General features: G+C 43.2%; 2 annotated features.

Annotated features, from left to right (window-relative positions):
* Nucleotides 941-1235: an enhancer, noted in NCBI's record as "tiled region #6530; HepG2 Activating DNase unmatched - State 8:EnhW, and K562 Activating DNase unmatched - State 5:Enh". NCBI's record gives its function as "activates a minimal TATA promoter and a strong SV40 promoter by Sharpr-MPRA in HepG2 and K562 cells {active_cell/tissue: HepG2 | K562}" and the evidence as "EXISTENCE:reporter gene assay evidence [ECO:0000049][PMID:27701403]".
* Nucleotides 6330-6521: a silencer, noted in NCBI's record as "fragment chr3:185623478-185623669 (GRCh37/hg19 assembly coordinates)". NCBI's record gives its function as "represses an EF-1alpha promoter that drives an FKBP-Casp9 reporter gene in an ReSE screen in K562 erythroleukemia cells {active_cell/tissue: K562}" and the evidence as "EXISTENCE:reporter gene assay evidence [ECO:0000049][PMID:32094911]".

A 14855-nucleotide genomic window follows, 5' to 3' on the forward strand; every position in this document is an offset into this window, starting at 1 on the left:
ATTCTAAATCATGAGTTTCAGAGGTAGTTATGTGACTATACACTTGTCAGAACTCATTGAATTGTGTAATAAGGGTACTTTTTTTGCATGTAGATGTTTATTTTATTTTATTTATTTATTTATTTATTTTTTGAGGTGAAATCTTGCTCTGTCACATAGGCTAGAGTGCAGTGGCGCAATCTCGGCTCATTGCAACCTCTGCCTCCCAGATTCAAGCGATTTTCATGCTCAGCCTCTTGAGTAGCTGGGATTACAGGTGCGCATCACCACATCTGGCTAATTTAACATCCGGCTAATTTTTGTATTTTTAGTAGAGACAGGGTTTCACCATGTTGGCCAGGCTGGTCTCAAACTCCTGACCTCATGTGATCCACCCGCCTTGGCCTCCCAAAGTGTTGGGATTACAGGTGTGAGCCACCACGCCCAGCCATGCATGTAAATTATACTCCAATAAAGCTCAGAAAAAGGTAAAATACTTTTTGAGACAAAAAAGTATTAAATGTTTAAATATTATTAAATATTAAATATAAGCACACACAAGAGTATACAGAATAATGGGAAACACCCTTATCATTATCACTCAGACTACAAAATAAAGCAATACAAATACAAGCAGAAGCTCCGTATATATGCCTCTCTTTGCATTTACTATCCTCATGCTTGTTTTTATCACCTTACTTCATATGTAGGTGTCTCCACAAATATGGTATTGTTTTCCCTGTCTTTAAACTTCACACATAAATGTTTCATTCATCTAGCTGTTTTCAATGATGTGATAATAAATAGGCAAACCCACACATGTGATTATATTTGCACAACTTCTAGACTTGGACCTGTACAGAAATGCAAAGTTTACCTGACTCTCTACATTTTGAACTCACTGTACTTCTCTCAGGAGAGAATGCCAAGAAAGTCACTGTCATTTATTCCTCTGCCTGGGGCAGAAAAATTAGTGAACACTCACTCTTGGTAAGTGGCATGAAAGGCCATTTGTAAGCCTGGCCCTGCTCCAATGGCTGCTGTGAAGATTCATGCACTGAGGGTGATGAGGGCTTGGAGCTCCCCTTGGCCTGAGTCAGCAACCTGCTGGTGCCTGGTGTCAGCAGTTTCCGGTCAGGGAGTGACTCACTGGACACCCTCCTACTTTCTGCTGGATGGAAGTGAGTGTCTCAGGGAAATTGATTCCAGCCCTCAGATCCAGACTGCACCATTAACTCTGTAAATCTGATTAATCCCTTAACAAGGGTCAGAAACATCTGTAATTCCTTTCCAGCGAGCCTCGTTTTTTATTTTATTATTATTATTATTTTGAGATGGAGTTTCACTCTTGTCGCCCAGGCTGGAGTGCAATGGCGTGATCCCGGCTCACTGCAACCTCCACCTCCCAGGTTCAAGCGAGTCTCCTGCTTCAGCCTCCCGAGTAGCTGGGATTACAGGTGCCCGCCACCACACTCAGCTAATTTTGTATTTTTAGTAGACGGGGTTTCTCCATGTTGGTCAGGCTGGTATCTAACTTCCGACCTCAGGTGATCTGCCCGCCTCGGCCTCCCAGGGTGCTGGGATTACAGGCGTGAGCCACTGCACCCGGCCTTACCAAATTTAAAACGATAGAAACACTGTTCAGACCAGGAACGGTGTCTCACACCTGTAATCCCAGCACTTTGGGAGGCCGAGGTGGCCGATCACTTGAAGTCAGGCGTTTGGGACCGGCCTGGCCAACATGGCAAAACCCCGACTCTACCAAAAATACAAAAATTAGCCAGGCGACATGGCGAATGCCTGTAATCCCAGCTACTCAGGAGGCTGAGGCAGGAGAATTGCTTGAACCCGGGAGGCGGAGGTTGCAGTGAGCCAATATTGTGCCACTGCACTCCAGCCTGGGAGACAGAGCGAGACTCCATCTCAAAAAGAAAACAAAAACAAAACAACAACAACAACAACAAACCCACTTTGTTCATAGAACTGCTGTGTATACAGCATGAAATTTGTATTTTCTTTTTAAATCTACAATCCTACACTTCAGGTTTGCAACTTTTGCTAATGTAAATCCTCCAGAACAAGCCTATCTCTTAAATCACTAGCAAGACTGCAGCTCATAAACACAGCCGGATCCTTCAGAATGAGTTTTATTTTCTCATATCCTTTGCTTATTCTAAGTAGAGCTTCATTTTCTTTTCCATGCTATTTTGAGCTATAACAAACCGCTCCTCTGTCCATTTCTTGATTTCCTGACAGGTCAGTTTTGATCTGTATAGTTTGATCAGTATAGTTAAATTTCCTGAAAGGCCACACAGCTGAGCCATGTAAAGTTCTCAGTAGAAATAAGAGGGACTGTGGCCAGGCATGGTGGCTCACGCCTGTAATCCCAGCACTTTGGGAGGCTGAAGTGAGTGGATCACCAGAGGTCAGGAGTTCAAGACCAGCCTGACCAACATATTGAAACCCTGTCTCTGCTAAAAATACAAAAAATTAGCTGGGCGTGGTGGCGGGCTCCTGTAATCCCAGCTACTCTGGAGGCTGAAGCAGGAGAATCGCTTGAACCCAGGAGGTGGAGATTGCAGTGAGCCGAGATGGCGCCATTGTACTCCAGCCTGGGCGACAAGAGCAAAATTCTGTCTCAAAAAATAAAAAAAATAAAAAAATTAAAAAAAGAAAGAAAGAAGAGGGACATCAAACAGAGGAGCCTGTTTTCAGAGTTCCCAGACCACATGAAATTCAGAAGCATTAACTAACCCCTTTGAAAGCAAAAATTTAATGCAGAAAAAGTACAAAAAGCATGCCAATATTAGGACACACGCACACACAACTGCATACACACTTTTTTTGCACATTTATTTTTTATTCTACTTCAAGTCAAGTATAATCAGTTTCTATATTTTTCAGTGAAATCAATTCCTTGAGGACTGAACATGCTTTTCTCATACACCCACAGTTTTCCTCCTCCCAGCTTCACCATTTAGGGATATGATACTTTTCAGAGTTGATAGGAAGTGTTTACCTTATTTTGACCATCTCAATATTGTTCACTTTTGAGACACGTACTATAATATAGCATGAATGACTTTCCTTTTTTCTTCTTTTTCTTTTTTTGAGAATGAGTCTCGCTTTATCACCCAGGCTGGAGTGCAATGGCATGATCTTGGCTCATTGCAACCTCCTTCTCCTGGGTTTAAGCGATTTTCCCCGCTCAGTCTCCCGAGTAGCTGGGATTACAGGTGCCCGCCACAACACCCGGCAAATTTTTGTGTTTTTAGTAGAGACGGGGTTTCACCATGTTGGCCGGGCTGGTCTCAATCTCCTGACTGCAAGTGATCTGCCTGCCTTGGCCTCCCAAAGTGCTGGGATTACAGGTGTGAGCTACGGCACCCAGCCATGAATGGCTTTCTTATTCCCTACAAATATTGTTTTATATCCTAGAATTCCAATTTTTTTTCATTTTTTAAATTTTTTATGTGCACGTATCTAATTTTCTTTGACTACTTCAAACCTGTGAAAGCCTCTCAGTAGTGTCTCTGAATACAAAAAGAGTTCCATTTTCCTTATTTGCCAAAGCACATCATCTAGGAGATTCCTCAAAAGTTGCATAGGGTATTCTTTTTTTTTTGAGATGGAGTCTCGCTTTGTCGCCAGGCTGGAGTGCAGTGGTGCAATCTCGGCTCGCTGCAACCTCTGCCTCCTGGGTTCAAGTGATTCTCCTGCCTCAGCCTCCCAAGTAGCTGGGACTGCAGGTGTGTGCCACCATGCCCAGCTAATTTTTATATTTTTAGTAGAGATGAGATTTCTCCATGTTGGCCAGGATGGTCTCAATCTCTTGACCTCATGTTTGGCCTACCCGGGCTTCCCAAAGTGCTGGGATTATAGGTGTGAGCCACCGCGCTTGGCCAGGTTATCTTTTTTTTTTTTTTGAGACGGAGGTTTTGCTCTTGTTGCCCAGGCTGAAGTGCAACGGCGTGATCTCGGCTCACCGCAACCTCTGCCCCCCAGGTTCAAGCAGTTCTCCTGCCTCAGCCTCCCAAGTAACTGGGATTACAGGCATGTACCACCACGCCTGGCTAATTTTGTATTTTTAATAGAGACGGGGTTTCTCCATGTTGAGGCTGGTCTCGAACTCCTGACCTCAGGTGATCCACCCACCTTGGCCTCCCAGAGTGTTGGGATTACAGGCGTGAGCCACTTCGCCCAGACTTTTTTTTTTTTTTTAAGAAGGGAAGTCTTTGTATGCCTTAAGATGTCCTTATTCAACTCTCAAATTTAGAATTTTAGGTTGAAAATAATTTTTCTTGGCCAGTCACAGTAGCTCATGCCTGTAACAATACCAGCACTTTGGGAGGCCGAAGCAGGTGGATCCCTTGAACTCAGGAGTCAGCAGTTTGAAACAGCCTAGGCTAATACAGCAAAATCCCGTCTCTACAAAAAATACAAAAAAATTAGCCGGGCGTGGTGGCACATCCCTGTGGTCCCAGCTACTCGGGAGGCTGAGGTGGGAGGATTCCTTGAGCCCAGGAGGTTGAGGCTGCAGTGAGTGAACCAAGATTGAGACACTGTACTCCATCTGGGTGACAAAGCAAGACCCTGTTTCAAATAATAATAATAATAATAATAATAATAATTTTTCTTCAGAATTTTGTAGTCATTTCTCCACTGTTTTTTAGCATCCTGTGTTGCTTTTGAAAAGTTTCAGTGCCACTCTGATTCTGTTTTCTATTTCTTTGAATGAGAACTGTGTTCTCTCTCTCTCTCTCTTTCCTTCCCTCTCTTCCTTCCCTACCTGTATTCTTAAATTTCACAACATGGCTTTGTGTGCTGGGTACACAGTAGGCCTTTTCAATATGGTGACTTCCAATGAGGTGACATTCATGATGCTGGGGGAAATCTACTTGTACCATATCTGAAATAATTTTCTCGCCTCCACGTTCTCTCTTTCTGCAACATCTGTTATTCCCAATCTCATGGAATAAATTTCTAATTTTTTATTACCCATATTTTCCATCTCTTTGGTTTTTGTGTTTTATTATACTTTCTGGGAGTTTCCTCAACTTTACATTTCAACCTTTGATTGAACTAAAATCCCATCTATAATGTTTTTAATTCTTCCTTTTTTTTTTTTTGAGACAGGGTCTTGCTCTGTTGCCCAGGCTGGAGTGCAGTGGCGCCATCTCAGCTTGCCACAGCCTCAACCTCCTGTGCTCAGGTGATCCTCCCACCTCAGCCTGTAAAGTAGCTGGGACTACAGGCATGTGCCACCACACCTGGCTAATTTTTGTGTTTTTTGCAGACCTGGGGTTTTGCCATGTTGCCCAAATCTCAAACTCCTGGACTGAAGTGATCCACCTGCCTTGGCCTCCCAAAGTGCTGGGATTACAGGCATGAGCCATCGTGCCTGGTCTATGGTGTTTTTATTTTATTTTTTTGAGACAAGGTCTCACTGTGTCACCCAGGCTGGAGTGCAATGGCATAATCACAGCTCACTGCAGCCTTGACCTCCCAGGCTCAAGCGGTCCTCTCACCTCAGCCTCCCGAGTGGCTGACATCACAGGTGAGCACCACCACCTGCAGCTAATTTTCATATTTTTTTGTGTAGACAGAGTTTCGCCATGCTGCCCAGGGTAGTCTCAAACTCCTGAGCTCAAGCGATCCAACTGCCTCAGCCTCTCAAAGTGCTGGGATTACAGGTACGAGCCACGCAGCCGGCCTGTTTTTAATTTTTAAGAGCTCTATCTTGTTCTCCTATTGTTCCTGGTTTTATTTTATTTTTTTTTTGTTTTTGAGACAGAGTCTTGCTCTGTTACCCAGGCTGGAGTGCAGTGGCGCCATCTCGGCTCACTGCAACCTCCGTCTCCTGGGCTCAAGCAACTCTCTTGCCTCAGCCTCCCAAGCACCTGGGATTACCTGTGTGCCACAACGCCTGGCTAATTTTTGTATTTTTAGTAGAGACGGTGGTTTCACCATGTTGACCAGGCTGGTCTTGAACTCTTGACCTCAAGTAATCTGCCCACCTTGGCCTCCCAAAGTGCTGGGATTACAGACCTGAGCCACCGTGCCCAGCCCTGTTTTTAATTTTTAAGAGCTCTATTTTGTTCTCTGATTGTTCCTGGTTTTGTTTTATTTTATTTTATTTTATTTTTTGTTTTTGAGATGGATTCTCACTCTGCCACCCAGGCTGGAGTGCAGTGGTGCAATCTCGGCTTGCTGCAACTTCAGCCTCCTGGGTTCAAGTGATTCTCCTGCCTCAGCATCCCGAGTAGCTGTGACTACAGGCATGCATCACCATGTCCAGCTAGTTTTTTATATTTTTAGTAAAGATGGGGTTTCACCATTTTGGCCAAGATGGTCTCGAATTCCTGACCTCGTGATCCGCCCGCCTCAGCCTCCCAAAGTGCTGGGATTACAGGCATGAGCCACCGCACCCGGCCTAGTTTAAAGTTTTTAATCGAGGTATAATTTATATACTGAAAAATATACAATTTTAAATGTATATATACAATTTTGATTATAGTGCTTGATGAATTTTACATATGATTACACCTGTATAGCCACACATAGATCAAGATATAGAATATTTCTGGTACCATGAAAGGCTTTCTCTTACACGCCTTCTCAGGCAATACAACCTCAAGAAGCAACCACTCTTCTGATTTCTTTCAACAACCGTTAGTTTTGCTTGTTCTTGAACTTCATATCAATGGAATCATATATTACGTACTCTTCTATGTCTGGTTTATTTCACTCAACAACATTATGTCTGTGAGATCCATCCCTGTAACCAATTGTAGCCGGTATTCCCTATTTGTATTGATGTATTCTATTTCATCATATAAATATACCACAATTTATTTCCCATTGAAGGACATTTGAGTTGTTTTCAGTTTGGATGTATTATGAATAAAGCTACTATGAACATTCCCATACTTTTTTTTTTTGAGACAGAATCTCATTCTGTCACCCAGGCTGGAATGCAGTGGCATGATTTCAGCTCACTGCAACCTCTGCCTCCCAGGTTCAAGATCTTCTTGTGCCTCAGCCTCCTGAATAGTCGGGACTACAGGTGTACACCACCACACCTGGCTATATTATTATTATTATTATTATTATTATTATTAGTAATAGTAGTAGTAGTAGTAGTAGTAGAGATGGGATTTCACTATGTTGGCCAGGCTGGTTTCAAACTCCTGGACTCAAGTGATCCACCTGCCTCAGCTTCCCAAAGTGCTGGGATTACAAGTGTGAGCCACCATGCCTGGCTTGTACATGTTTATTGCAGATGTAAGCACTCATTTCTATGGGGTGAAATTTCTGGGTCATAGGGTATATGAAGGTTTAGCTTTAATATATATTGTCAAATAGTTTTTCAAAGTGGTTGTACCAATTTATACTTCTGCCAGCAACGTATACAAGTTTTAGTTGCCCTACATTCTCGTCAACACTTGCTATTGTAAATTTTTAAATTTTAATCATTCTGGGCTGGGCTCGGTGGCCATGCCTGTATTGCTAGCACTTTGGGAGGCTGAGGAGTACAAATCGCTTGAGCCCAGGAGTTCAAGACCAGCCTGAGCAACATAGGGACACCCTGTCTCTACAAAATATTTAAAAATTAGCTGCGTGTGATGGCATGTGCCTGAGGTCCTAGCTACCCGGAAGACTGAGGTTGGAGGATTGCTTGAGCCTGGGAGGTCGAGGATACAGTGAGCCATAATCACACAATTGCACTCCAGCTTAAGCGACAGAGTAATACCCTGCCTCAAAAAAACCTCAAAATTTTGAGTCATTCTAGTGAGTATACAGCAGTTTTTCATTGGAGCTTTCATTTGCATTTCCTTGCTAAGCTTATTAGCTATTTGCATATCCTTTTTATTTACATGAAATGCCTGTTCAAGATGTTGTGCACTTTTAAAAATTGGGTTCTGTATTTAACTATTCTGTGTAAGAAATTCCTTTAAGACATACTGATTTAAAACATCAATAAACATTTATTCTCAGTTTCTGTGGGTTAGGAATTCTGGAGTGTCTTAGCTGGGTGGTTTAGCTCAGGGTCTTTAATGAAGTTGCAGTAAAGAGGTTACATGGGGCTGTGGCCACCTGCAGGCTTTAGTAGGCTGAACAATCCATTTCCAAGATAATATATGGCTTACTCACATGGCTGCAAGATGGGGCTGAGTGTTGGCAAGATGCCACAGTTCCTTACCACATGGATTCTCCACAGGATGACTGGCCTTTCCCAAAGCAAGTGACCGAAGAGAGAGGAGGGCAGAAGCTGCAGTGTCTTTTTTTTTTTTTTTTTTTTGAGATGGAGTCTCGCTCTGTTGCCAGGATGGAGTGCAGTGACGTGATCTCAGCTCACTGCAAACTCCGCTTGCTGGGTTCAAGTTATTCTGCTGCCTCAGCCTCCTGAGTAGCTGGGACTACAGGTGTATACCACCACACCCGGCTAATTTTTGTATTTTTAGTAGAGACAGGGTTTCACCATGTTGGCCAGGGTGGTCTTGAACTCCTGATCTCAAGTGATCCGCCCACCTCGGCCTCCCAAAGTGCTGGGATTGCAGGCATGAGCCACCACGCCCAGCCTATTTCTTTCTTTTAAAAGACAGAGTTTCCTTATATTGCCCAGGCTGGTCTCGAACTACTGGGCTCAAGGGATCCTCCTGCCTCAGCCTTCCAAAGTGCTAGGATTACAGGTGTCAGCCACCACTCCTGGCCCTACTCTCTTAATAGTGTTTTTAGGTGACTGGAAGTGCTTAACAGCTTTATTAAGATGAAATCCGTCTGCTTAAAGTGCAAAATTCCATCGCTTTTAGTATATTTACAAAGTTAAGTGACCATCACTACAATCAGTTTTAGAATATTTTTCCTCAGGCCCAAAGTGACTGCCATACCTATTAGCAGTCACTTCCCCTTCCTCCTGCAAATTGCCGTGCCTAGGAAACTACTAGTCTACTTTCTCTGCATAGAACTCTCTGTTCTGCATATTTCATATATATTAAATCATGTAATATATGGTCTTTTGTGACTGGTTCCTTTCACTTAAAATGTTTTGAAGGTTCATTCATGTCAGCATGTATCATTACTTCATTCCTTTTTATTGCCAAATAATATTCCATTGTATAGATATATCACTTTATTTATTTATTTATTTATTTATTTATTTATTTATTGAGACGGAGTCTCGCTCTGTCGCCCAGTCCGGAGTGCAGTGGCGCGATCTCGGCTCACTGCAAGCTCTGCCTCCCAGGTTCACGCCATTCTCCTGCCTCAGCCTTTGGAGTAGCTGGGACTACAGGCGCCCGCCACCGCACCCGGCTAATTTTCTGTATTTTTAGTAGAGACGGGGTTTCACCATGTTAGCCAGGATGGTCTCGATCTCCTGGCCTTGTGATCCGCCCGTCTCATCCTCCTAAAGTGCTGTGATTACGGGCGTGAGCCACCGCGCCCGGCCCGGATATATCACATTTTATTAATCAATTCATCAGCTGAAGGAACATTTGGGGTGTTTCTGTTTTTCGGCTATCACTAATAATGCTGCTATGAACATCCACGTACAAATTTTTGTGTGAACCTATGTTTACGATTTTTTGGGTATAAACCCAGGAGTAGAATTGCTGAGTTGTATGGTAATTCTATGTTTAACTTTTACTTATTTATTATTTTTTTGAGACAGAATCTTGCTCTGTCTCCCAGGCTGGGGTGCAGTGGCATGATCTGGCTCACTGCAAACCCCGCCTCCCAGGTTCAAGTGATTCTCCTGCCTCAGCCTCCCGAGTAGCTGGGACTACAGGCACGCACCACCACGCCCTGCTAGGTTTCTTTTTTGTACTTTAGTAGAGATGGGGTTTCACCATGTTGGCCAGGCTGGTCTCGAACTCCTGGCCTCAAGTGATCCGCCTGCCTCAGCCTTCCAAAGTACTGGGATTAGAGGCTTCAGCTATCACCAGTAACTTCTATAAAGCTCAACAAAGGTAAAGTCAAGGGCAAATCTTCTCCCTCAAACCAACTTCTTTCTTTCTTCTCATTTTTAACAGGGCCACTGCGAGCGGCCAGGAGCCCAGGCTCGCAGTCAGCAACTCTTCCTTTCCCATTAACTCCCATAGTCTTTCACAAATTCCTATTTGTCCTTTTTTCCAAATGCCTCTTGCATTTTTTTGAAATGTAACAATTTATTGATCAATATAAATGAAATAAAATTTAGAATTTATTTCCAACTTTGCTATATTGCATAGTAACGAGACTCCATCTCAATAATTATGAATTTCCATATCTAAATCCAAAGATTCTTAGATTTGTAAGAATTTGGAAGTTATTTTCTATCCTCCCATTTTATAGAAAAGCAAACCAATGCCTGGAAAATTAGGCATATTTTAAACGGTCTTACATTAATTAATTGTAAAGAGAGTAATATAATGAAGTCTCCTGTCTTCTAGACAAGTGTATTTTTTTTTTATTTATTTAAGTTCTAGGGTACATGTGCACAACGTGCAGGTTTGTTACATATGTATATATGTTCCATGTTGGTGTACTGCATCCATTAACTCATTTACATTACGTATATCTCCTAATGCTACCCCTCCACCCTCCCCCAACCCCATGACAGGCCCCGGTGTATGATGTTCCCCTTCCTGTGTCCAAGTGTTCTCATTGTTCAGTTCCCACCTATGAGTGAGAACGTGTGGTGGTTTTTTGTCCTTGCAATAGTTTGCTGAGAATGATGGTTTCTAGCTTCATGCATGTCCCTACAGAGAACATGAACTCATCCGTTTTTATGGCTGCATAGTATTCCATGGTGTATATGTGCCACATTTTCTTAATCCAGTCTATCATTGATGGACATTTGGGTTGGTTCCAAGTCTTTGCTGTTGTGAATAGTACTACAATAAACATACATGTACATGTGTCTTTATAGCAGCATGATTTATAATCCTTTGGGTATATACAGTAATGGGATGGCGGGGTCAAATGGTATTTCTAATTCTAGATCCTTGAGGAATTACCACACTCTTCCACAATGGTTGAACTAGTTTACAGTCCCACCAACAGTGTAAAAGTGTTCCTATTTCTCCACATCCTCTTCAGCACCTTTGTTTCCTGACTTTTTAAAGATCGCCATTCTAACTGGTGTGAGATGGTATCTCATTGTGGTTTTGATTTGCATTTCTCTGATGGCCAGTGCATTTCTTACTTTTCTCTCACTCCCTCTGCCTTCATCCTAGGCCAGAGCCTGCCCCTGGGCTGGGCTCCCTATAGACCCTTTTCTAAATTATCGTTCTACTCCATTCATCTATTCCTTCATTCATCAGAAGAGCATCTGTGGAGCACTTAGTGCCAGACACTGCGCTAGACACTAGATGCACCCGTAACACAGACATGGTCCAGCTGGGGAGGCAGGTAATTGACAGGCAACTACAGTGTCTTGGGGTGAGTGTGATGATGGAGGAAGCCCTTAGCTGGGACCATAATCCAGATGGAGAGGCGTGTTAGGGGGGGGCCTACACACTCCTACTGGTTTCATTGTCCTAAACACTTTTATCCTGTTTCAACTAAAATTGGCTTTCTCTTACTTTTGTTCCTTTGGGTTCAAACTTTGTAGCCTGAGATTCTAAGGCCTTTCTGGTCAACCCAGGCCCATTCCCAGGACTCTCTAGCAGAAGAGGTAGTAGTAACAATGATAGTAATAATAGCACATCTTCATTAAGCTTATTTATCTTAAATAACAGGCCCTCTTCTAAGTACTTTTCTTAATGTTAACTCTTCACAACATTCTCTATGAAGGAGGTACAGGTACTATAATTAGCACCACTGACAGAAGGGAGTCATGAGTGCTAAAAGGCAGAATCTGGGTTCAAATCCAGGTGGCATGGCTTCCAGGCTGGCATGTGATGATGACACCATTGTGTATCAGTGTAACCTGGCCGTGTGGACCTCAGACTCTAAATCATACATCCTAAGTTCTCCCCAAAGACCTTTTTACTCCTGGTCCCCTCTCCCCTGAGAATGCCCTTCTCTTTCTTATCAAACCCTATAGAAGGCTTTATTTTCACTTTCTTGATGTTATCGTTTGCAGCACAAAGCTTTTTAAATTTTAATTAAGTATAATTTAGCAATATTTTTTATTAGTGTTTTCTGGTTATTGTTTAACCTAATTCCCTTTTCCAATTGTTTGTTTAGATTCCCGTCTTTGTTCTTGAAGATTTTAAAACCTAGTGATCCTTGATTATCTGTTCATATTTAAGAAAGAAACAGATTGTGGCCGGGCGCAGTGGCTCACGCCTGTAATCCCAGCACGTTGGGAGGCTGAGGCAGGTGGATCGCGAGGTCAGATTGAGACCATCCTGGCTAACACGGTGAAAACCCGTCTCTACTAAAAATACAAAAAATTAGCCGGGCATGGTGGTGGGCGCCTGTAGTTCCAGCTACTTGGGAGGCTGAGGGTGAATAGCAGAAACTCGGGGGGCGCAGGTTGCAGTGAGCCGAGATCACGCCATTGCACTCCAGCCTGGGAGACAGAGCGAGACTCCGTCTCAAAAAAATAAAAAATAAAAAAAACAGATTGTGAATGGAAGCCCGACGTGCAAGGGAAAGCTCATCAGCTGATGGGCTTCACTGGAGGGCAGAGCTTCCCAACCTTTTGTGCATCAAGGCATACACAGAAAATGACAATAGCGGTGAGGTACACTGGGGGTAAACTGGTGGTGATTTGGGTACCCATAATGGACTTAGTAAAAAACTCCTGCAGGGCTGAGCCCGATGGCTCACGACTGTAACCCCAGCACTTTGGGAGGCTGAGGTGGCATCAGCTGAGGTCAGGAGTTCGAGACCAGCCTGGCCAACATGGAGAAACCCCCATCTCTACTAAAAATACAAAATTAGCCAGGCGTTGTGGCTCATGCCTGTAATCCCAGCTACCTGGGAAGCTAAGGCAGGAGAATTGCTTGAATCCGGGATGCAGAGGTTGCAGTGAGCTGAGATCATGCCACTCTCTCTAGCTGGGGAAACAGAGTGAGACTCCATCTCAAAAAAAAAGAACACAAAAAACACAAAAAACCCAAAACAACAAAACCCCTGCAGTTTCTTTACATAAAATAATTGAGGAAAATGTAATAAAATATAAGCTATTAGTAACAATATTAAAACATTTAATTAAAATAAATTCTTTGAAATCTTCCACAAACACTTTTCAAAAATTTTAGTGAGAAACTTGAGCTTGATTCCACTAATTTAACAGGTTTGATGGTTAAGCTAGTTACATGTAATTCCTAAGTATTTTTAAAAACAATCTCTTCGGCCGGGCCCAGTGGCTCACGGCTGTAATCCCAGCACTTTGGGAGGCTGAGGCAGGCAGATCCCGAGGTCAGGAGTTCAAGAACAGCCGGGCCAACATGGCGAAAACCTGCCTCTATTAAAAACACAAAATTTAGCTCAGCGTGGTGGCGGGCACCTGTAATCCCAGCTTCTCAGGAGGCTGAGGCAGGAGAATCACTTGAACCCGGGAGACAGGTTGCAGCGAGCTGAGATCATGTCACTGCACTCCAGCCAGGGTAACAGAGCAAGATTCCGTCTCAAAAAAAAAAAAAAAATAGCTGGACCTGTAGTTCCCTATTTTGGAGACTAAAATGGAAGGATCACTTGAGCCCACAAGTTTAAGCCTACAGTTTAGCTGTGATCACACCACCGTACTCCAGCCTGGGGGACAGAGTGAGATCCTGTCTCAAAACAAAATCAATAAAAGCAGTATGTATAGTTGCTATCAACTATATAGAAATGGTTTTCTCCAGGTGAACTCTGGTACAGAAGCCAAGTCACATGGTACAATACAGGTATGGATATAAGGTCCCATAAAGGAATGACTAGAAACCAAATCCACAGAATGTTATTTTCAGTGAGAACAAATTACTGTCCCCCCTCACAAGGAAACTTAGTATTGCAGTTATTCCCATCAAAGTATATTTCACATTGGAGCTCAGTTGTGGTAATGTTTAAACTTGAGTGGATACTCATGTTGAAGATATGTTCATTGCCTTTGCTGTTACCAATCTATCCTGCTGCTCCAACCCTTTAACCACGAAGATGATTAGATATTGATCTGTCCAGAAGATACCTGTAAACTCATGCCTATTTCTCCAGACGAAGACAATGAGCCAAGTTTTTCTTCTCGAGGTCTTACAGTCCTTGTTCTCCTGTAATCCTCTATACCCAGCTGAGCACATCTTTTGACTGGGAGCTGCCTTAACAGCCCGTTGGTAAGAAGCCTTCCCAATAACGGGTAACACAAAACTTTTATATTATGTGTATCCGTTAAAATAAAACCTATTTAATACATCAAAGTGGCTCACAATCTTCATCTCCATCATCTTCATGTTGAGTAGGCTGAGGGGGTGGGGGTGCTGGTCTTGCTGCCTCAGGGGTGGCAGAGGCAGAAAATTCCTGTAAGGAGACCCACACAGTTCAAACCCATGATGTTGGTCAACTGTTATTTTTGGTAAGTTTGGGTATTTATCTTTCTACAACAGTTCAATAGTTACAGGTGTCTTTGGCAAAAAGACTATTATTTCTGTGAACCTAGTATCTAGTTAACTACAGCTTGAAATTCCTGCCAGATCCCTTCACACACATTTTATCTTGCTCCTTTATTAACCCTGCCAACTTCACCTTCTAAGGGCTAACAGTGATTACCTGGTCTTGGCTGGGAATGGGTGGCTCACGCCTGTAACCTCAGCACTTTGGGAGGCCGAGGTGGGTGAATCACCCGAGGTCAGTAGTTCGAGACCAGCCTGACCAACACGGTCAAACCCTGTCTCTACTAAAAATACAAAAATTAGCCGGGCGTGGTGGTGCACGTCTGTAATCTCAGCTACTTGGGAGGCCGAGGC

The sequence above is a fragment of the Homo sapiens genome, chromosome 3, assembly GCF_000001405.40.
Source record: "Homo sapiens chromosome 3, GRCh38.p14 Primary Assembly".
Lineage (NCBI taxonomy): Eukaryota > Metazoa > Chordata > Mammalia > Primates > Hominidae > Homo > Homo sapiens.